Source organism: Homo sapiens, chromosome 2, assembly GCF_000001405.40.
Source record: "Homo sapiens chromosome 2, GRCh38.p14 Primary Assembly".
Taxonomy (NCBI): Eukaryota; Metazoa; Chordata; class Mammalia; order Primates; family Hominidae; genus Homo; species Homo sapiens.
In genome coordinates this window covers 7,133,382-7,158,572 of record NC_000002.12, presented here as the reverse complement: position 1 = coordinate 7,158,572, position 25,191 = coordinate 7,133,382, and the positions used below count along the sequence as shown (strand labels likewise).

The 25,191-nt window shown below is 39.1% G+C and overlaps 1 long non-coding RNA gene and 1 pseudogene across 1 annotated transcript in view; one reads left to right on the top strand and one right to left on the bottom strand.

Annotated features, from left to right (window-relative positions):
- Positions 1-54: 54 nt before the first annotated feature.
- LOC124908053 (uncharacterized) overlaps positions 55-25,191 on the bottom strand; it is a 35,124-nt gene continuing 9,987 nt past the window's right edge. The window contains exon 2 of the long non-coding RNA XR_007088654.1: positions 55-4,990. This is a non-coding gene — a long non-coding RNA (uncharacterized LOC124908053). The remainder of the gene's footprint in view (positions 4,991-25,191) is intronic.
- RN7SKP112 (RN7SK pseudogene 112) lies at positions 17,048-17,314 on the top strand (annotated as a pseudogene).

The window sequence follows — 25,191 nt, the reverse complement described above, 5'->3', positions numbered from 1 at the left end:
CAAATCTAAAATCATTCGAACAAACTTATTTTTTAAAAAAACTATTGTGCAGTGTTAATTTTTTAAAAATTTTATTGTGTAGAATATGGGCTCAATATATTGGTAAATAAAAGTTTTACATTTGTAAATAGCTTAGTATAATTTCTGGTACAATGTCAATAATTTGTAATACAGTAGTTTAAGGTAACAATTAAAAAGTAATGATAAATTTGTCCTTGATTGAGGAATCACACTGAGTTCTTCATAGTAAACACCTTCAAGTCAAAACCCAATATTGATTTTAGTGAGCTTGTTTTCAGCATGTAGGCAGGTTTCTTCCCACAAGTATTCCCTTGGCTAATAAGAGCAGCTCTAACATGTCTCAGAAAGAATTATACAGCAAGGAAATTCAAGCATACTTTTTAAAAATATATGCATTTATATACTTTTCCTTAGATTTCTACTGTCATTGTATCTTTCTTTTCCTTTTGTGCTAAAATTAGTTTTTGGTGTTTAATGTGTGTTTTCTAAGCTGTACTTGTTTTGGATGTTGGCATGGGCTGTTCAAGAAATCATCAAACTTTAATTTTCCTAGTATTCCATTACACACTGGGACACATGCAAGTTGACTTTAGAATTCTTCATTAATTAAAGTCATAGATGTTTTTACATGTGAGGTGGAAGGAACACGAAACTCAATTTAAATTCCAATGTTACACTGTATCTGAAAAACAAGTTTATAAAAAGAATGTGAAGGACTGACAGAATTTTCAAATGCATGTTTTTTTTTTCTTTTTTCTTTTCAACTTTGTGCTTCAGATGAATTTTCTGTGAACATACTGTCGGAGTGAAGGATTTCATGTTTCTTAGCTGCAATACTATTTCACAGAACATGGAAATCAGAGACAGAAAAGAACTATGAAATCATCGAGTCTGCTCCCCAACACTACAGGATCCCTCCCTCCATGTATTTTTCGTTGTTTTGTCGACTTTGAAATGACTCAAGCAAGGAGGTTTCCATCACTTCCCTTGGGAGAATTTTCAACGGTTTCATAGCCCTCACTGTTAAGATTGCTTTAATTTTCGTTTGCTCAATTTTCCTTTGCATAATTTTATTTTGTCTTTCCCAGTTACACTCCCTTGGATGTCCACTCCTACTTGCCCCAATACTTAGAGGGAGTTATCATTTGTTTGTCATCTAAGGCATGGGTTTCGTTTTTTTATTTTTTTTTTCTAATCTCCACTGTAGTCTGAAATTCAACACCCAGAGTCTTCCTTAATTATTCTCATTGACTTCCTTTAGAGACAATTAGATTTTAGTCAGTTAACATCAAATCGATTTCAGCTAAATATAACTAAATTATTAGCACTTCATTTATTCTGTAACTCTATACCATGTGTTTGATATATTCTTGGATAAAAAGCAGCCTCTTCTGCAATATTTTTAACACTTATTTAGTCTAGCACTATGCTAAACATTGTGCAAAGGGGAAATACACATTGCTTTTTTTTGTGAATTTAAATCCAAAATTCGATAGCCCCCACCATGGCAGGAGAGACATAGGCCATTTCCAGACAACCAGTTGGCCTGATTAGAGGGTGTATTAGACCATTTTTGCGTTACTAAAAAGAAATACCTTTGACTGGGTAATCAATAAGAAAAGAAGTTTAATTGACTCACAGTTCTGCAGGCTGTACAAGCATGGCACCAACATTGCTCAGCTTCTGGGGAGGCCTCAGGAAGCTGTTACTCATGGTCAAAGGCAAAGTTGGGGCAGGCACATTACACAGCAAAAGCAGGAGCAAGAAAGAGAGGGACAGAATGAGGAGAGGGGTGCCGCACACTTTTAAACAACCAGATCTGGTAAGAAATCACTCACTATCCAAGGACAGCACCAGGGGGATGATGCTACACCATTCATGAGAAATCTGTCCCCATGATCCGATCTCCTCCTGCCAGGACCCAGCTCCAACAATAGGAATTACAATTCAGGACATTTGGGTGGGGACATAGATCCAAACCATATCAGAGGGTTACCAATTTTTCAACTATACATATGCTTCTATGTTTTTCTAGGAAATTCATAAGACTATAATAGAATAGGTTATGATTTATTTCAAATGAAGGACATCTTGTCAACTGTTACAAATTTAAAGATATTTTCAGTAATTTTAAAACTTTATCTTTTCATATTAGAAACTTAACTGTGTTGCTTTTATTAATGACATGGGAATTAGGGTCCTCCCCTAGGGAGCAGTGTGAGATCAGAGGCATCAACTAAAACGTATTTAGCCTGAAGCAACTGAAATCTGAGGGTCCTTCAATTTCTTGCCTCCTTCCACCCCATTAGTACTCAGAGTTGCCGGGAATATTCTCAGGTATGTATGTGTGTGGGGTGGAGGACAGGACGATTTGCAGTGAGAGAGTATTTCTATGTAAGCATACTTGGTCAATTGCCCAAAGATAGCTCTGAAAAAGACTGAGACCTAAATCTCTAATGTTCTAAAAATGTATTATTATTTATAAATGTTTTTACCAAGGAAGATTACTCAAATTGCCAAAGCTTTAGGTCACATTACTGTAAACTCATTGCTATAGTTTGGATATTTATCCCCTCCAAATCTCATGTTTAACTTTGATTCCCAATGTTGGAGGTGGGGCCTAGTGGAACGTATTTGGATCATAGGAATAGATCCCTCATGAACATCTTGGTATTGTCCTTGTGGTAACGAGCGACTTCACACTCTATTAGTTCAAGGAAGAACTGATTGTGGAAGAGCCTGGCACCTCCCTCCTCTCTCACGTATCCTCTCTTACCATGTGACATGCTGGCTCTGCTTCGCCTTCCACCATGATCAGTACCTTCCTGAGGTGTTCACCAGAACCAGATGCTGGCTCCACACTCCTTGTACAGTGTGCAAAACTGTATGCCAAATAAACCTCTTTTTCTTTATAAACTAACCAGCCTCGGGTATTCCTTTATTACAATACAAAATGGACTAAGACACTGATTTTTGTTGAGCTGTTCACAATAAGGGACTCTCTAAACCACAGCATCAGCCAAGATGAAGCTTCCACTCATTGACCAGAAGTTAAAGGAAGTCATCTATTATATTTGTCCCTCTATCAAGAGGGAAGAATCCCAGAAATGTATTATGAAATTCTCATGTCAAAATCAATCCATCCAGACTTGGATAGACAGTCATTTTATTCCCTAAATTATTACAAGTTCTGGTAGTTCTACAATTTTAATTTAAAAAAATCAAACCCTAAGTGACCTTTATACAGAACTTCCTGAGCTACAAACTCCCCTTTTTTTTCCTTAACACATTACCCATCATTCACTATAAAATTAAGAGTTCTGTGGAACATATTCTGGGAAATATTTCACCAATGCATCTCCTACAAATCTAACATGGTGAATTTTACACAGTAAAACTTAAAGCATGCATTTAATTTATTTGATTATAATATAAAGAGGTAAAAATTCTATAAAAATCTACATGACACTTAATGAATAGGAGTCCCTATTTCTTAATTACTAAACTGAACAAACACACCATGACACAGACAAAAGGAGTTAGATCTAAAGGTTATTTTGCTCCTGAATGATTTCATGGGGTTTATAAGCCCTACTTGACCTTGAGTGTCCTATTCTTGAATGTCTTTTTCCACCTGAAGTATACTGAGCCAATCACCCCACACCGCCACCTGGGTGATAAATCATGCAGAATTACTGTCTGCCTCAAGCCTCACCAGAGGTTTCCTGAAATGCCATCTGGGCTAATGTTACTTATCCAGCTGTATTTCTTAAATCTTTAATTAGCAACAGGTTTTTTGTATGAGGACAGAATGAAACCCCTGGGCTACTTCATGTGCCAGTGAACCTCACATGCTCCTGGGAAGGTTGGATACAAATATGTTCTCTTTGCATTCTCCCTCCATAAATGCTCTTTGTTGGAGTCAGGGGAAAAAAATTGTTCTGGTACAAGACAAAGCCTCCACAGTTAAAGAAAACACTAGTTAATCTATAAAGTCCTAATATCCACATGATTTTGTCCATAAAATCAGATAATTTGGAAGATGAATATATTCTTGCTGATTTCACATCTACTTCTCTCAGCTTTTAAAAGAGGAAGAATTGAAATCTCCAACAATGATTGCTAATTAGTCTATTTCTTCTTGCAATTCTTTCAGCTTTTGCATACATTTTTTGAAGCTTTTTGTTAGGTAAGTGAACCATTATAACTATTATACCTATTGATAAATTCACTCCTTTATTGTTCTGAAAAAATATTCTTTATTTCTGGTAATATGTATTTCCTCTCTGAAATATAATTTGAATGATAATATAGTCACTCCAGCTTTCTTTTATAACTGTTTCTAATCTTGTCATTTTAATCTACTTGTATCTTTATATTCAAGTGTATTGAGGTACTAGAAGTGCTGCAGTATATACCTAAATCTTGCTTTTCAATTCAATCTGACAATCTCTGTCTTTTAATTAGGTTGTTTAGACCATTTACACTTATTGGGATTTTTGCTACCATTTGGTTTATTATTTTGCTATTTGTTTTCTATTTGGTTCATCTGCTCTTTGTTCCTCTTCTTCTGCATTATTTTGATTAAATTTTAAATAATTTCCTTTTTGCCATGACTTTTAGTTTAGTTATTTAGTGGTTGCTTTAGGATTTATAATATATATCTTTTACACATCACAGTCTACCTTTAGGTGATTTATACTACTTTTAGTATAGTACACAAGCCATAGAATCATAACTTGTACAGTATCCCTTCCAAACCTCCGTTTTTCTTGTTGTACATTTTACTCATGTATGTTATAAATTCTATAATATATTCATACTTTCATTTAAACAGTCAGGAACATTTTAAATATATTTAAATAATAAGAAAACAACCTTATATTCTTTACCCATGTAGTTACAATTCCAAGTGCCCCTTATTCCTTTAAGTAGGTGCATATTTCATCCAGTGTTATTTTCTTTATGCCTGAAGAAGGAAATAATACAGGTCTTTTGGTGATAGATTCTGTCAACTTTTGTATGTGTAAAAATTTTCTTACTTTACCTTCCCTTTTGAAAGATATTTTCATTGTGTATATAATTCTGGATTGACAGGTGTTTTTATTCAATGCTTTGAAAATGATGCTCCACTCTTTTTTTTTTTTTTCTTGTATTCTTTCTGATGAGAAGTGTGCTGGCATCCCTATCTTGTGTTTCTATGTATGTAGCATGTGTTTTATTATTCTGGCTTCTTTTTAACATTTTCTCTTTATTACTAGTTTTTGGAAATTTAATTGCAATGGACTTTGATGTAGTTTTCTTCATCTATCTTGTACTTATGCTACATTAAACTTCTTGCATACAGTGATCTATAGTTCAGCTTTGCAAAAATATTGAAAATAAAACTCCTTTTATTGGTTCAAATACCCACCCTTCCATTTCCCTTTTCCTTTGGAAAATGTAATTACATGTATATTGGACCACCTGAAGTTGTCCTTCAGCTCACTGATGCTCTTTTCATTTTTGTTTCCTCTCTGCAATTTATTTTTATTCATCTCTGTTTTTACATCACCAACCTCACTAGTCTTTCCTTCTATAATGCATAAACTACTGTTAATTTCATTTAGTGTATTTTTCATCTCAGATAATGTAGCTTTCATCTGGAGAAGTTATATTTATATTTTTTCATATATTTTATTCCACTATAAATGAAATTATGAAAAATAATTATAACTATTTTAATGCCCTCTTTTTCTAATTCTAGCATCTGAGTCAATTCTGGATCATTTTTGATTTGTTGATTTATCTTTCTGCTTTCCTGCTTGAGTGCCTGGTAATTTTTTATTTGATGCTAATCATTGTGATTTTACCTCATTAGTGGCTAGATATATTTTCTTTCCTATAAATATTCTTGAGGATTTTCCCCCTGAGATGCTGTTAAATTACTTGAAAACAGTTTGATATTTTGAAGTCTTGATTTTAAGATTTGTTAGAGTGTACCAGAGCCGTATTTAATCTCAAGTTAATTATTCCCCACTATTGAGATACCACCATTCTGAGCATTATACCCAGTATCTCATGAATTATGAGAATTTCCAGTCTGGCAGGTAGGAAAAGCCACTGTTCTTAGCACTGTGGTAAATGGGGCAATATTCTCTCTAATACTCTCAGGTGATTCTTTCCTTAGCCTCAGGTACTTCCTTCACATGCATTGAATTCTCTAAGCAATATTCAAGGAGGACCCTCTGCAGATTTCTGAAGTTTTCCTGTATGTAGCTCTTTCTTCTTTGGTATTCTGTCCTTCCAATTCTTGCTGCCTCACTGTACCTGGGCTCTCAGCTCCATATTCTTATCTCAGGGATTTTGCCAGATTCTGCACTATGCACCATGGCCTGGAAATTCCCTCAAGACATTAAGCTAGGGAAATCACGGGGCTTGCTTAACTTGTTTTCCATCTCTCAGGAATTCCTGCACTTACCACCTGATATTTAATGTCCTAGAAATAGTTCCTTCACATAGGCTTCCTGGTTTTTATGATAGTTTTAAGTGGCAAGGTAAATCTGGTCTCCGTTACTCCATTTTAGCCAGACCTGGAGATCTCTCTTTTACCAAAATTTTAATGAAGTCTTAAAAATAGTGAGGTACAACATAAATATTTACGATGATTATTAAGTAAGACTTAAACAATCACATTAAATCCTTAACAGGCTAAACATTTATCCATTTCACAACCTATTTCCATTTATGCAGTGCCAAGTCCCCAACAACCGCCAGGGGCCTCAAAATCCAAAAGAGTCCGGTATTCAGGGAAAGAAATCTGTCTTTACTGGCCATGCCATTATTTTTTGCCTTGAATTTACAGCGTCCTTGAATGTCAGATATTGGAAATATCTATTTTCTTCAAAGGAATCCTTACCCCCAGCCCTGGGGATGCACAAACATACCTCTTATTATTTTATGTACTGCATGTTAAGTAGCATTTAATGTGGGGGACTAATACTTCATCCTGTTCGTGCTGTTCTTCTGGGTCATCCAAGACTAGCTCAAAATCATTCTTCAATATTAGAACAAAATACCTATATATTCCCTATCAGGAGTGCATATAGCATCACTCCCTATCCAATTCATAACTGTCAGAGAATAATGTGTTAGTTTGCTAGGGTTGCCATAACAAATTGCTGCAAACTTGGTGGCCTAATACAACAGAAATGTATTCTCTCACATTTCTGCAAACCAGAAGCCCGAAATCAAGATGCCAGCAGTGCCTCTCTCCCTCTGAAGTTTCCAATGAAGAAGCTCTGCTTGCCTTTGCTGGCTCCTGGGGGCTGCTGATGTCCCTTGGCTCGTGGCAACATCACTCCTCAGTTTGTGCTCTTCAGAGTTTCCCAATGACTGGGTGAAGCTCACCTACATAATCATGGGTAATTTCTTTTCCCTAAAGTCAACTGATTGTAGGTGTTAAACACATCTTCAAAATACCTTCACGGAAACTCTTAGTCTATGAATACATAACTAGCCTAGCCAAGCTAACACATGAAACTAACCACCACAAAACCTATTTGCTGAACTTGTCCACCTTAATATGGCATCTGGGAAACTCAGGGATCTGCGAAAATATTCTTAGCGGTCCTCAAATTCTAAATAATTAAAAATGTGTTTTTATAAAATAACAATTCTTTCTCAAAATTATTTTACTGGTTTCAAAGAGGAAAGTTCCTTTTTTGAACATAATGACATGTTGAAACACATTTTAAAATATGAAGAATATCTCCTTTGATTTGAAATGTAGAAGTCTACTCCCTGAAGGCCAGCCACAGAGTTAGTGGTGTCCACTTCAGATTCCTTACTCACTTTACAGCCAGGCTTTATGAGATGGGAACTGACAATTGCCTAATGGAAACTTCAGCGTCCTTTATCTCTACTTTGTCTCCAAGGTGATACTTACTTGGGCTCTATCTGAAAGTCTGGCCCACGTTTTGCTGTTTGTCTTGAACTCAGCACAGCCTAGTCACCAATTCTGATTCTAAATCATGACACTTCAACCCCAGTCTCCCTGATTCTCAAGTCCCATCCCCATTTGGTATAAAGTAATACTATCCTTTGCTTACTTACCCCAATTTTAAGATTAGATAGGTGCACTGTATTTGCGAAAAAAAAATAGCCTAATAGTGAACCCCACAGATGATTATAACTGCTGGTCAAGAATGACAACAACAATTCTTCTGAACATGCAAGTGAAAAACACACAGGTGGTAACCAGTACTCCTTCACCTGCTGGCCTTGGTGTGTCTTAGCGGAACTGGATTCAGAGGATTTGATTATAACTCAACTCATCATCCTGTACTTATTCTTAATTAGAAAAATATGAAAAAAAAATGCTGCCTCCATCTATCTCATGGACAAGGCAAAATGACATCAACCTTCTGAGAAACATCTTCTTTCACAGTCTACACGGGTTTAATCTCTCCTTGGATGAGCTCTTAAAACACACTTGCACAGAAATCAGAAAAGTCACTCTGTGATCTCGGTCTCCAGATCTTTTTCAACTACAGACTTTGTCAAATAGCCAGAAAAGTACAAAACCAAATCCAGGGACAGAGGCCAAACTTATCTGGCATCAATAGATGTGTGGGGAAAAAAAAATCCCTGCCACTAGCAGAATGGGTGTGAAATCCCTGTTTCATACAGACAGTCAGGACGGATGGCCAGTTTTTCCTCTTTATTGTAATAAAACTAAAACATTGATAAATAAAAGGAGAGAAACAACCTTTTTATTTTACTTACTTGTTTTTAACATCTACATGTTCGAACCTGCACCCATGACCCTGTAGTTTTATAAGACTTACCAAAAAAAAAAGAAAAGAAAAATTAAATATAGTCCAGGTAGATAAGATCCTTGACTCTGTGTGTGGTTGCCCATACAGTAATGGAAAGCTTGTCTCCTCAAAGTCACCATCTTACTGGTTACCGCCATCACTCTACCACTCTTCACGAATATCCAGGTTTCATTCTTATTGAGGGATTGCTTATCCCAATACCAAGGTCACGTGTGGCCATATGGCTTTTCTTCATTTTCTCTAACATGGCTGCCAACAAATGACATGTAGAGGTTGGCCTGGAGGCCTGAGAATACAGCAGCACTATCAGCTGACCTGAGAGGAACATCGAGTAGTAGAAAGGAATAAGCCAGTGGTGTTTTACGACCCTGGAATCTGTGGTTACTTTGTACCCGTGGTATCCCCTAGCCTATCTGGACTGCTATCCTTTACTGCTGAACTTCATACCCACCTTAGAAGACACCAACAGCATCTACCTATTTGCCCCACCCCTCCTATTCCTTTGTCAAAGCCATTGTCCACATTGCTGCCAGTGTCAGCCTTATGGAATCCAAATTTGTTTGTGCCTTATTAAAATTGCCCTATGAAATACAGCCTAAAGCCAAAATCCATTGCATAGAAAACGTCAACCATGATCTGCCACCTGATCTGCAACCATGATCTGTTGCCAGTAGATTGCTCTCCCTCATCTCCCCAGAACGTTGGCCCTCATGTTCATCTTCTCACTGTGCTTGGGTTGCCGCCTTCCTTTCTTATCTCAATTTGCTGATGAAGTGTCCTCTGCCTGGAGGACAAATCTTTGCCAGTCCTCCTGTAAAGCCTTACCCATTCCTCAAACTCTGCCCAGATCCCTTCAATTCTATGACATTCTCCTTTGTACAGCCATCACCAACACTATCATAGTATCTTAAATACAGCTCTAATATTGAATTTGGTGTTTGAATTTGTAATTTTGTGTGTATGGATCAGTCTCTTTATGGAGAATGTGTGTTCTCTCAAGGTATTGTTTCCCCAGTTAGAACAATATAACTCAAAGATTGAGTCCTTTGCTTAAGATTAAGCAGTGGCGGGTGCCTGTAGTCCCAGCTGCTCGGGAGACTGAGGCAGGAGAACGGCATGAACCCAGGAGGCAGAGCTTGCCGTGAACTGAGATAGCGCCACTGCACTCCAGCCTGGACAACAGAGCTAGACTCCATCTCAAAAAAAAAAAAAAAAAAAAAAGATTAAGCAGTTTGGCCAGGTGTGGTGGTTCACACCTGTAATCCCAGCACTTTGTGAGGCCGAGGCGGGTAGATTGCCTGAGGTCAGGAGTTCAAGACCAGCCTGGCCAACATGGTGAAACCTCGTCTCTAGTCAATATAAAAATTAGCCAGGCGTGGTGGCGCATGCCTGTAATCCCAGCTACTTGGGAGGCTGAGACAGGAGAATTGCTTGAACCCAAGAGGCAGAGGTTGCAGTGAGCCAAGACTATGCCATTTCACTCCAGCCTGGGTAAGAAGAGCGAAAGTCCATCTCAAAAAATAAAAATAAAAAAAATAAGCAGTTAATAAATTCCAGTGCCACAACCCGAACCTGAGTCTACAGCACATGCACTTTTTTATATGTGATGCCTTTTTCCAACTGAAGTCAGGTGCCCCATGGTCTTGTCCTTTTTCTGCAGGCTGTACACTAAAGCAGTAACTCACAATGTTGCTGGAAGCATTTGAGACACTTTAGGGCTGAGTATTTTGCCACTTCCTCAACAGCTGTTTATTTATTACCAGCTGATTCTGTGAACACAATCTTGGTGATCTACAGAGTCAGGATGAGATCAGACAAGAGGCTTGGGATATTCAGCCACCTCTCTAGCTGCTTTTCTGTAAGGCTTTTGTGGATTTAGTGTCTAATTTTTTAATAAATTAAAGTTTGATTGAGGCCAGGCACAGTGGCTCATGCCTGTAATCCCAGCACTTTGGGAGGCAGAGGCAGGTGGATCACTGGAGGCCAGAAGTTTGAGACCAGCCTGGCCAACATGGTAAAACCCCATCTCTACTAAAAACACAAAAATTACCTGGGCATGGGGGCAGGTGCCTGCAATCCCAGCTACTTGGGAGGCTAAGGCGTGAGAATCGCTTGAACCCCAGAGGCAGAGGTTGCAGTGAGCCCGGATCATTCCACGGTACTCCAGCCTGGGCGACAGAGCGAGACTCTGACTCATAAATAAAAAAGAAATTGAAAAAGAGATTGATCGGGATGTATCAGGGTTTTTAGACCCTTTTTGATGAGATAGAGTGAACAATGTACCTTTCCCTGAAGATCTGTACTCTAGTTCTTTACTAGGTCACTAACTAGTTTGGGCCCAGCATCAGACCAGTATGTCTCTGGATGAAAAACAAACATCATTTAGGTGGTCCACAGGGTCTCTAGTAGCAATAACCCGGCATGAGTGTAATGGTGTGGATCATCCAACAAATGACAGTAAGCATTTATTGAGGACCTACTGTGCATGAGATATCAGGGTCGAAGACAGGGGCCTGCTTATAAAAGTTTTTTTTTTTTTTTTGAGATGGAGCCTCGCTCTGTCACCCAGGCTGGAGTGCAGTGGCGCCATCTCGGCTCACTGCAATCTCCGCCTCCCAGGTTCAAGCAATTCTCCTGCCTCAGCCTCCTGAGTAGCTGGGATTATAGGTGCCCGCCACTGTGCCCAGCTAATTTTTGTATTTTTAGTAGAGACAGGGTTTCACCATGTTGGTCAGGCTGGTCTCGAACCCCTGACCTCGTGGTCCACCCGCCTCGGCCTCCCAAAGTGCTGGAATTACAGGCGTGAGCCACTGCGCCCGGCCTGCTTATAAAAGTTTTAATCTAGTATTCCTATACAAAGGCTTAAAGGTATTGTTGATAAACTTCACTTTTTCTACACTGCAACTTCCCTCTCTGTATTTCAGGTTAGTAATTCCAAAGCTTTACAGCCAGCATCTTCTTGTTTATTGCCAATGGCACCCTTGGTGGGTCCCTGTGGAGTGACTGTGGGGAAATTAAATGTTTTCATGCTGGGTGCAATCCTTCAAAGAAAGTTCTTGCCTGAGACAAATTTTCTCCAAAGGTTGTAGTTAGTAATTTGCTTCCTGTTAATAATTCTACACACATTGATCTCACAGCAGCTGGTGATTATTTGGCACAAAACCCTCTGGGTTTATTTTAAATTTAGAAAAAATTTTGCTCTAGTACCTGCTTCCTGCTTAGGCATTTCCTTGGGAGACCAGAATATTCCAAATAATTTGATGAAAATGACCAGTGTTCTCAACAACAACAAAGCCTCAAACTTTTCATCCAGCTGCCCACAGGAACAAGAAAAAAAAAATGTTTCTATTCAACTGAATTCCTTCAGGCTGTTTCAAGAATAAAGCCATTTATAGCTTCATCCCAGTTCACTGAGGCATACACTGCTAAAATGAGGCATTTGCTTTTCAACACCAGCCTCTCTTTTTTTGCCCTTCTTGCCATCTCCCCTCAAAAAAGAATGTCTCTTTGTCACTAAGTGCCTACTATCTGTATTGGGAGCACATTCAATGGTAGGATTGAAGCTGCATTCAGGCAATTTTGTATTGCTTAGTGTGGCATCTTCCGCAGCTAAAGGATAGAGTAGGTGCTGGGTATACAGTAGGCACTCAAACATTATTGGTTGTGATTTATCAAGCAGACCAAACCACATTTTCTACTGAATCATTATCTCTTGTCAAATATCAAAGATTTATGTGGATGTAATACAATGGCTGCTTCTCTAAATAAAATGATTGCCAGTGCACTCTATAGGAGACATTCAGGGTTTGTCAGAGACAATAGCACACCTGAAGGTATGCAAATTTCCTAACTGGTTACCTTACCCTCAGGAACTTCAACAATTCATCCACTTAACATCACCTCTAAAGTGGGACATTTCTGTATATCACATTCATCTTTGTATTGTCTTACTCTAAAGTCATTAATGCTCCTATTGTCTTCTAGGTGAGTTAAAATTTCAACAAGCACCTATCATTCCCAGCCAGAAATTTATACCACAAATGCACATGTTCACTCTTTCCTCCCTCTACAGGATGGTCTTCACTTTTACTTCACTGATCAAACATTTATTTTCTTCTTCCAGGGGCATCTCAAGTAGTACCTTCTCCAAGAAGCCTTCTCTAACCAATGGGCAAAAGCAAGCACTCCTTCTTTCAGAGACTCCTATGAAAGTCATTTGTACCATTCATTTTGGTCAAAGGCATGTGTTGAGGAAAGTGCATAGTATTTGGAGTAGAATAGTTAAAATTGAATTCCTAATTAAGACTATTGGCCAATAATTGTGGCACCTTGAAAAAGCCTCTTACTTCCTTTGTATGACAGTTTCCTAATTTGTGAAGCAGTAATAATAGTATTATGTGATTCTTAACACCTTGTGCGAATCAAACCAGGTCATGATTATGGCTTGTAAAGTGCTATGCCATTGCTCATTTTCATTCTATGTCAGATGCTCTCCATACTGGAACGTGTCAGCTGGTCAATTAGAATCTGCTTCTTGGATACAGGAACTGGGTTATTTTGTCTTCCACAGTCATGAATGCTACCAGGATTACTTGACTTGAAGTAGAATGAAACTGAGAAACATTTAAAGAACCTACTGTGTGTGGTTTAGCACCTCTGTCTGCAATGGGCGGGGCTCTCACACGGTGGTGGGCAAGACAGGTGAGGAAACAGATGAGAGCCCTGCTGTGGGCCATGCTTGATAGTGAATGTGCCGGAGAGATAGGGATTAGGTGCTTCACAAAGACAATCACCTTCAAATTCCATTCTAAAGGGTGATTATGACCCTCAGGTAGAGAAAATAAAGAAGGGCATATTAGGAATGGAGCTAGAAATAACACACACAAAGGCCCAGAAGCCCACAGAGGGTTCATGTCAAGAAAGTGCTGAGATAGCATGACCGAAGAGGATCTCGGTTACAAGAGTACCGAGAGATGGCAAGGAACAGTATGAGTTCTTCATAGCAATGAGACCTCATGACCAGCTCAAAAGATATTATACTGTCCTTGTCCACCTTTTCATGGTCCTTAGCATGAGTGGGCCTTTGTTTTTTCTGGTCCTCCTTTCTTTACCTAGGGTGTGGTAGAGTGTGAATTACTATGACTGGTTTACCCACCCTTGCACTTAACCTGTCCATCTAGTTCCTGCAGCCTCACTCCTTTTCCATTTAATCCCTGTAATCATTGTACATTTCAGATATAATTCTTGTTATTTAACCTTGGAAAATTTTACAAAATACAACCCTACCTAGAGACCTACAAGAACAACAATAGTAATAAAAAGCACACTCATCCTGAGCCTCCTGTAACCCTTGAAACACATCTCTTATCAGAGGAAGGAAATAAATTAATCCTTGAAGACACTGAGGTCCAAAAGAAGTTTTAAAGAACATGCTGTTGGGTTTAGTAAATGCATTTAAGAATACCTGTGAAAAATCCTATTTGAACTAGAAAAATGTAAGCATACACACACAAAGGCTGATCTTCCCTGAGTGGGAGTAGATCATTTATGTTGTGGGAAAACAGATATTGTCTAGATAATGCTTAGATAGGACTTGAAGGCTCCAAATGCTGTCAACAAAAGAAAATGGAGAACTAGTTTTATATGACCCAAAAACTCATAGATCTAAGCTATGATTTAACGTTTCAACTTTCCATGGTTTTCCCATTGATATCAAAACATCTCTTGTCAATTAATCTTCAGCAAGTAGAGCATGTTCAATTTGATCTTTACTAGAAAATGCAATGTACCACAGGGAATCAGGAGATGTGGTTTCACTAAAGTAACAGTTAAACACATTGGTTCATTAGTCATTTTGGCAACATCCCAACAAAAGCCCAGGTTGGCCTATGAGACTCAGTTGTACCAGGTTGGAAAGTATTAGCCCTTTGTCAGATGGATAGATTTCCAAAATGGAAAGTAAAAATCTGAAATTACAAACTCTGAAATAGGCTAAGAAACCATCAGACAGAGTACTCTGGGTTTCTTGGGAATCTTACTTTAGAACAGGGAAATGAAATAAAATTTACAATGGGATTTATTCTGAACCTTTTTTAGATTTTGGTCAGCAGTACTATATTCTGTCAACTGTTTAAGTCCCAAGTACTCACTGATTAATCCATTTATTCACTCAAGTGGCATTTCCTATGGAACTCCCCTATTTTATATAAATATGAAACAAGGAACATCACAGGAAGTGCAAAGAAAGACATTACTACTCCCACACTCAGTATGAGTCCCCTTTACTAGTGTATTCTAGACACTCACATGCAATAAACATAACACATTTGTGGGAAACACACCATGTGGTGATGCTTAATGAGCCATACCCTTGTGGAATACCCTTCCCTTCAGTGTGGATAGGACTCATTACTTGCTTTCAACCTATGGAATATGGCAAAGGTGATGGGATATCACACTACTTATTAGGTCATGCTATATGACAAAGGTGAACGATATCACTCCATAATTACTTTACATCATAGGAGACTATGACTCAGTGGACTGGAGAGAAATATTTTCCTATAGTCTTAAAGAAGCAAACAGCCATTCTGTAAAGCACCTACGGAGAGGACCAAGTGGCAGGGAACTACAGTGGCCTCTAAGATCAGAGAGTAGCCAATAAGAAGCTGAGGGCCTCTGTCATACAACCATTGGAAACAAATTCTAGAACAACCGGAATGAACATGGAAATGGACCCTTCCTCAATGAGCCTCAGGAGGAGAACACAACCTAGATGAAACCTTGGTCTCAGCCTGGCTGCCTGATAAGACCTGGGCAGAAACCCAAGGTAAGCTATACCTGGCCCACATAAACTGAGCTCATGCATGCGTTATCCTAAGAACCTATGTTGGTAATAACTTGTTATGTGCAAAAGAAAAGGAATACATCCTGGATCCTAAGATTCCACTTTACAAGATGTAAAATCAATGTAGCCATCTTAACAGAATATTATGAATACTGCACTGAATCTACACTGAGAAAGAGAACTGAACAATTGAAAAAACACATATTAATGTTAACAGGTGCTTTGCTAAATGTGGTATAGCATTAGGTATTTCTCCTAATGCTATCCCTCCCCTAGCCCACCACTCCCCAACAGGCCCCGGTGTGTGCTGTTCCCCTCCCTGTGTCCATGTGTTCTCATTGTTCATCTTCCACTTATGAATGAGAACAGGCGGTGTTTGTTTTTTTGTTCCCGTGTTAGTTTGCTGAGAATTATGGTTTCCAGCTTCATCCACAGGCCCTGCAAAGGACATGAACTCATCCTTTTTTATGGCTGCATAGTATTCCATGGTGTATATGTGCCACATTTTCTGTATCCAGTCTATCACTGATGGGCGTTTGGGTTGGTTCCAAGTCTTTGCTACTGTGAATAGTGCAGCAATAAACATATATGTGCATTATAGTAGAATGATTTATAATCCTTTGCGTATATACCCAGTAATGGGATTGCTGGGTCAAATGATATTTCTTGCTCTAGATCCTTGAGGAATTGCCACACTGTCTTCCACAATGGTTGAACTAATTTACACTCCCACCAACAATGTAAAAGCATTCCTATTTCTCCACATCCTCTCCAGCATCTGTTGTTTCCTGACTTTTTAATAATGGCCATTCTAACTGGCATGAGATGGTATCTCATTGCGGTTTTAATTTGCATTTCTCTAATGACCAGTGAGGATGAGCTTTTTTTTTTTTCTATGTTTGCTGGCCACATAAATGTCTTTTTTTGAGAAGTGTCTGTTCATATCCTTCACCCACTTTTTGATGAGGTTGTTTGCTTTTTTCTTGTAAATTTGTTTAAGTTCCTTGTTCATTCTGGATATTAGCCCTTTGTCAGATGAATAGATTGCAAAAATTTTCTCCCATTCTGTAGGTTGCCTGTTCACTCTGATGATAGTTTCTTTTGTTGTACAGAACCTCTTTAGTTTAATTAGATCCCATTTGTCAATTTTGGCTTTTGTTGCCATTGCTTTTGATGTTTTAGTCATGAAGCTTTGCCCATGCCTATGTCCTGAATGGTATTGCCTAGGTTTTCTTCTAGGGTTTTTATGGTTTTAGGTCTTACATTTAAGTATTTAATCCATCTTGAGTTAATTTTTGTGCAAGGTGTAAGGATGGGGTCCAGTTTCAGTTTTCTGCATATGGCTAGCCAGTTTTCCCAACTGGCTGCGACATCTGTCACCCATTGATCTCCAGGGTTGATTTGGCCAATCTGGCTCGCTAGGCGGGTGTCCCCTTCCTCCCTCACTGCTCCACGTGCACCCCTCCTGAAGCTGCATGCTCAGTTGAAGAGGATGAACATCCCCAATAGAGGAGGACGGGTCTTTGGTCAAGTGTACATGAGTAGCTGCGCTCCCCTTCTAGAATCTCCAAACAAGCTCTCAAACTTCCTAATTTAAGAATGAAAGGGAGATATGACTAAGACACATAGAAGTTTAAAAGCATAATAAAGGAATCCTATGAGCAACTCTATGCCCATGAATTCAACAACCTAGATGAAAAAGAACAATTCCTTGAAAGTCACAAATTACCAAACTTCACCAAAGAAATAGGCAATATGATATTTCCTTTATCATATAGATAAATTAAATCCATAGTTTAAAACTTTCCAATAAAGAAAACTCCAGGCTCAGATGGTTCCAACAGAAAATCCTACCAAATATTTAAGAAATCATATCTACCAATTCTATGTAATTTCTTCCAAAGAATATTTCAAGAATTACTTCCTAACTTATTTCATGAGACCAACATTACCTCAACAATCAGATGAATTTCCAAAGAAATTATAAGAATATTATAAAGAAATATCACTCATGAGCATGGATATCAAAATCCTTGACTAAATATTAACAAATTAAAGCCAGCAATATATAAAACAGATAAATAATATTATTTCTCTGGGTACAGTATTCTAAGACAATGGTTTTCTTCTCTCTCAAAACTTTAAATATTTCATTACACTCTCTTGCTTGCATGCTTTCTACATAGAAGTCAGATGTAATTCTTATCTTTGTTCTTCAATTGGTAAATTAGTCCATTCTCACATTGCTATAAAAATAAATCCTAAGACTGAGCAATTTATCAGAAAAGTGGTTTAATTTTCTCAGAGTTCTGCAGGCTGCAAGGGAAGCAGGGCTGCATCTGCTTCTGGGGAGGTCTCAGGGGAGCTTTTACTCATGGGGAAGGCAAAGTAGGAGCAGGCAGTTCACGTGATAAAGGGAGGCACAAGAGAGCAAGGAGGGAAGTGCCACATACTTTTAAACAGCTAGATCTTGTGAGAATTCACTATGGTGAAGAGAGTAGCAAGAGGATGGTACTAAACCATTCATGAAAAATCCACCCCCATGATCCAATCACCTCCCACCAAGCCCTACCTCCAACACTGGTGATTACAACTGAACATGAGATTTGGGTGGGGACACAGATCCAAACCATATCAATTGGTAAGGTATTCCCCTTTGGCTTCTTTCAGGACTTTTTTCTTTATATTTGTTTTTCTGTCATTTCAAAATGATATACCTAGGTGTGGTGTTCCTGCCATTTATCCTGCATGGTGTTTTTGGAGCTTCATGGATCTGTGGTTTGGTGTCTGGCATTAATTTGGGGACAATTCTCAGCCATTATTGTTTTAAATATTTCTTTTGTTCCTTTCTCTCTTTCTTCTTCTTCTGGTATCTCTATCACACAAATGTTACATCTTTGGAATTGCCTCACAGTTTTGGAAATGCTGTTCTGGTTTGGTTTTGTTTCAGTCTTTTTTCTCTTTGCTTTTCAGTTTATAGGTTTTGATTGAGATATCTTCAAGCTCAAAGATTGTTTCCTCAGCCCTGTCTAGTCTACTAGTTAGCCCATCAAAGGCATTCTTCACTTCTGTTACAGTGCTTTTAATACTGTAGCATTCCTTTTTGTTCTTTCTTAGAATTTCTATCTCTCTGCCTACATTGCACATCTGTTCTTGTATGCTGCCTACTTTATTCATTAGAGACCTTAGCATATTAATCATAGTTGTTTTAAATTTCTGGTCTGATAATTCCAACAACTTTATCATATCTGAATCTGGTTTCAATACGTATTGTGTCTCTTCAAACTAAGTTTTGACCTTCTGGTATGTCCTGTAATGATATACTGGGTAAACATGATATACTGGGTAAAAGGAACTGCTGTACACAAGTTTTTAGTAATATAGTAGTAAGGTATGAAGAGAAGGGAAACATTTTATAGTCCTATTTAGGTCTCAGTCTTTGAACTTCACAAATGCTCCCCAGTCTTCCCCTCCACCCCCTCCACAGGTGGGACAGAATGGTCAGAGAGGGTGGGAGTTGGGTATTCCCTTCCCCAGGTCCCTTAGGCTCTGATAAAACCACAGTAAGGCCAGGTTCAGTGGCTCACACCTGGCTTTGGGAGGCCAAGATGAGAGGATTGCTTGAGGCCAGGAGTTTGAGACTAGCCTGGATAACATAGTGAGACCCCATCTCCACAAAAAGTAAAATGGAAACTAGCTGGGCATGGTGACACACTTCTGTAGTCCTAGCTACTTGGGAGGCCAAAGCAAGAGGATCACTTGAGCTCAGGGGTCCAAAGCTAAGAGTGAGCTATGATCATGCCATTGCACAGTCTGGGTGACAGAATAAGACTCTGTCTCTCTTAAAAAAAAAAAAATTAAAAACCCAGCAGGTTGGGCTATGGTTAATTAATTCCTCCTGAGGACAAGCCTTGTTAAGAAGAACATAGTACTCTGTTATATTCCAAAATGATTCATTTTCCCCTCTCCCTGCCAGATGCAAAAAGGAATTTTAAGGGAATTTTTATCTGATATTCCCTATGGGGACCTTGAAGAGCTTTTTGAGGTAAAACTCTTGAAAGGGGGGCTTCCCTATGATTGAGTCTCCTAGGAGTTTTTAACTGTCAGATTTATTCACACGGAGCCTTTAGTAGTTCATCAATTACAGTTCAGATTTCCCTATCCCGGTACTAGTTCTCACAGAGCTTTCTGCTCTGCTAGGTTGTTATTCTCTGTATTCACTATTCACCAATAGATCTTCAATTTAGGGGGCAGCAGTTTGCTCTGTGACCTCATTTCTCTTGCATAGCTAAGAACAGTGATTGACTTTTTAGTTTGCCCAGATTTTTACTTGTTGTTAGAATGCAAACAAGCCATAGACTGGGAGAAAATACTTACCTGCCAAGTGTCTGGCAAACATTTTCCCACAATATATAAATGACTTACAAATTTTTTTTATTATTATTATACTTTAAGTTCTAGGGTACATGTGCACAATGTGCAGGTTTGTTACATATGTATACATGTGCCATGTTGGTTTGCTGTACCCATTAACTCATCATTTCCATTAGATATTTTTCCGAATGCTATCCCTCCCCCCTCCCCCCACCCCATGACAGGCCCTAGGGTGTGATGTTCCCCTCCCTGTGTCCAGGTGTTCTCATTGTTCAATTCCCACCTATGAGTGAGAACATGCAATGTTTGGTTTTCTGTCCTTGTGATAGTTTGCTCAAGAACTTACAAAATTTAACAATAAAAAATGGTCATTTAAGCATATGAAAAGATACTCAATATCATTGGTCATTACATAAATGTATATTAAAGCCACAAGGTGAAACCACTGTACACTTGTTAGAATGGCTGAAAATTTAATAATAATAAATGGCAAGCTTAAGTCCTGGTGAAAATGTGCTGCAACAGGGACTGTCATGCATTGCTAGGGGGAAGGCAAGACAGTAAGCTACTTTGGAAAACAGCTTTTCAGTCTTATATAAATTTAACCATAAACTTATTGTGTGACCAATCCTATTCAAAAGAAATTTAAAAATGGAACTTATATGAAAATCTATTTGCAAAAGTTTATAGAGGCTTTATTAATAATCACCAAAAAGAGAAATAATTTAAATGACCTTAATGGTGAATGAATAAAACATAGTACACTAATATTACTCAGTAACAACAATTGTGAACTATGATGCATGCCATAACAAAGGTAAATTTCACATACTTTAAGACATGTGAAAAAAAACAGACTCAAAAGACTATGTGCTATATTTTCTTCCATTTATGTGACATTCTGAAAAAGTAAAACTATAGAGTTGAAGAATAGCTCAGTGGCTTTCAGGGTTGACGAGTGAGGTGGAAGGGAAAGCATTAGTGTCATTATTTTGAGTGACAGAACACTTCTATACTTGATTGTGCTGCTCATTAAACATAGTTCCATGAATTTATCAAAAAGTGATTTTTACTGTATGTAAATTAATGAAAGCTAAAAATAAAGAATTAAATCAGGGATAAATAAATATATAATTACATCTGTTGTAAGTACTACAAAAGAGAACATGTAATAAGAAAACCCCATTATCTCAATCCCAAAACTCCTTAAGCTGATAAGCAACTTCAGCAAAGTCTCAGGATACAAAATCAATGTGCAAAACTCACAGGCATTCCTATATACTAATAGTAGACAAACAGATAGCCAAATCATGAGTGAACTCTCATTCGCAATTGTTACAAAGAGCATAAAATACCTAGGAATACAACTTAGAAGGGTCGTGAAGGACCTGTTCAAGGAGAATTACAAACCACTTCTCAAGGAAATAAGAGAGGGCACAAACAAATGGAAAAATATTCCATGCTCATGGAGAGGAAGAATCATCATCATGAAAATGGCCATACTGCCCAAAGTAGTTTATAGATTCAATGCTACTCCCATCAAGTCTTTGTCTTTTAACTGCGCATTTTAGTTCATTACAACTATATTATTATTATATGCACATATACATGCAAATATATTTGTGTATTTATTTTTACCACCTGATTTTATGCTTTGTAAAACCTGCAGTCAGGAGCTCAAATGCACCAAATTGGACTTCTAACCTACAGAGCTGTGAGATAATAAATTTTTATTGCTTCAAGACTCAACATTGTGGTACTTCTTCACAGCAACAATGAAAAACTAATGTAACATATTAAACACAATATCAAAACTTTATTACTTAATGTATGGTCCACAGATCAGCAGCAGTGGTAAAACTTTGGAGCTTGCTAGAAAGGCAGAATATGAAGCCCAACTCTCAGACCTACTGAGTTAAAATTTCATGATAAGAAAATAAAAATATCACGAGGTGGTTCATAAATTTTCAGAAACCATGTTATGAGACATTCGGTGTCTTGTTAGGTCAGTATTTGACGTCTTTCTTTTAGGATTATATTGTTTTTTGTTTATTCGTCATAGTGTCTTGATTCCCTGTCATTTCATTTTTTACTGCTGTGACTTCCTGTTCATTGAAACTTTCCCTGTGGAATTTCTGTATGTGTACATGTTTAAAGATCTTAGCTGAGGAGGTCTGCTGTGGGGCAGCACCTGAGTATCTCTATTTCTGAAGTAAATTCCTTCAGACAGGAACTGCATTTGCTTTACCAAGGGCTGGAGACACGGAATCCCGACTTGTCATTTTTAATACTACACAAGAAATGTGCATCTGATGCTCATACCTATATGAGATTCTGCTTGTGGTTTTGAATTCTTAGGGAAGATTTTTTTTGTTTCTACCTCCAACTTAGACTCAGGGTTGGAGATAGTTGATTTTCTAGTAGTTAACCAGAGAGTAAGTGCATTCTAATTTGCTCTTAGGCTAAAGGTGTAATGAAAATCACAGGTTTTGGTGGGTGGGCAGATACACTGGCCTTATGGTGGGACATTGGCTTTGAACTTTGTCCAGCACTCCGTGTGGCCTTGAAAACTGAATCACGCCTTCACCCTTTCGGCAAGTGTCCTCTGGGTGATGGCTGATTTAATTGCTCTATTTACCTCTCTTAGCTTCTCTCTAGAGTGTGGTTGGCCTCTGGTGGTCTTTATATTCTTAAAGGGTTACCGATGCAATTAAAAAGATGGTTTCTGTTTATTTCTAGGAAAATTCCTCTAAAAATTGAAAAGTGGTGGTATTTTATTTGCTTTCATCACTGAGGTCGGTCAGGAAGCATGGCTGCTGGAAAGGAGTCTCCAGTAGCAGATGATGGACAAGGCCAGGCAGGGGAGGGCACAGCCACGGGTCTTCCTCTGCCTTGCACCCCACGCGAGACTCACTTTCCATTCTGTTTCACGCTTTATCACTGAACTTGCCAAGTCCAGATGATGCTTACTGGGCTTGCATATTTTGTTTGGCAATTAGACTATACCCAGTTATGATGTGGTTTCCAAGATTAAACAGTTGCTAACCCAAATAAGCAATTCCAGGATGGATATTGATGTCACTCACTGAAGTAAGCCAGGCATGAAGAGAAGACTTCGATTTTGAAGTTTGAGATGGCTTCATTTGACATGTCCAAGTGAAGATGTAAACTCTGCTGCTGGTGTGGGCTCACAGGAGAAATATGGGCTAGAAACATAAATGTGCAACAATTTGGGGCAACAATAAGAAAAATAGATATTTTACATTGTCAGCTAGATACAGCTGTCTGCCGTTAGTGGAGAAGAGTGAATGTTAGCTGAAATTCACAAAGAAGACTTCTTGGAGATGAGCTGCAGGGTCCCCTGAGGCTCATGAAATATATTGCAGATGAGACATTTATATGTACTCAGTAGTTAGGTTGTTATAACAGGAGAATTCTGACAGCAGGCGCACCTGAGAGAGGTGGGCAGAAGAGAGAGGTGTTTGTTTACCTCATTATCTCTTTGCAAGAAAAAGAAAAAAAATCTCAAGATTCATTTTATTTTCAAGTGGTACAATGTTGTGTGAGGTTATTTAATCTTCCTTTAAACAAGTAAACAAACCAAAAGGAGCAGAAGGTAAATACCATAAACAGAAGCTGGAGAAGCCTCCAGAAAGGTAATCTTAGGCTGTTAGGCATCAGCCCTGCCTTCCCCAGCTTAGCAAGGCTACAGGTGCCGCCTCGCAGCACCTGCAGAATGTCAACCCCCGAGAAAGGAACTAACAGGAGCAGATTCCACCCACAAGTGAGGAAGTCTGGACTTAGCAGTAGGTGTTTTCCCAGACTCATGATCTAGTCTGTTTGGGTTGAGTTCTGTTTGCCTTAATTCTGTGGCTCTAAGATCTCTGCACATAGGCCCAGTCAGTGCGGGGATTTCTTCTCCATCCCTGGGGCCCTGCTGGTACTAGCACTGGGCCCTGGCTTCGCCACCTCTTTTCATGTTCTCCACCCCAGTTACACACTTCCTTCTGCTCCAAATAGACCAGATTTTTTATCTGATGTCTTCATTGCAAATGTCACCTCTTACATCCCACCTTTCAGACTAGGTCACCCTAGACCCAGACTGGCATAAGTCAAACAAAAGTTTGCCACCCCACTGACCCCCCTTACCACTTTGGGCAAGTCTGAATGTTAGACTCCTGGTTAGGATGACCTGGAGCTGACCTGGTCACCAGTTCTGATCTGATCCTGACTTCCCTTCCTTACACCTCAGCTCATGTCGGTGTCACACTCATGTCTCTGTTATGAATCCAGGTGGCTTATGGCTGTTTATAGAACTGTGTTCTATAAAACCTGGAAGTTTCTCAAAGATTCACTCATTTTATTCAACAAATACCGAATGCCTGACTAATATGAGTGCTATAGGTTCTGCAAGAAAGTGTAAAAATAGCAAAATGAAGTCCCTGTCCTGTCCTCATGAATGACACTCTAGTAGGGGTGGAAGTGGGAGAGAGTGGACAGTAAACGATCAAAATGGAGCCTGTTGAATGGCATTCAGTATCAGGAAGAACAATAAAGAAAGGTAAGGGTGAAGACATCTCCAACGTGGTGACGAGGAATGTTCCTCATTTTAGAAGCTCCACGCACAGGCCTCTGTAATACAACAGTGAGGTTTCAGTAGAGACCCGAGAGAGCTTGAGAATGTTGGACAGCAGAGTATTCCAAGAGGAGGACCACAGGGAGACGCACTGGAGTGCTCACAGCTCAGCACATTCAAGGAATAGAGAGGACATGACACATGCAGGAAAGAGAGGCATGGGCAGCCAGCAGGGGGCCCAGGCCAGCAGAGTGGCAGGGGATGAGGCTAGCAGAGCAGCAGGGGGCCAGGCCAGCAGAGTACCAGGGAACCAGCCCAGCAGAGTACCAGGGAACCAGCCCAGCAGAGTACCAGGGAACCAGCCCAGCAGAGTACCAGGGAACCAGCCCAGCAGAGTATCAGGGAACCAGCCCAGCAGAGTATCAGGGAACCAGCCCAGCAGAGTACCAGGGAACCAGCCCAGCAGAGTATCAGGGAACCAGCCCAGCAGAGTATCAGGGAACCAGCCCAGCAGAGTACCAGGGAACCAGCCCAGCAGAGTACCAGGGAACCAG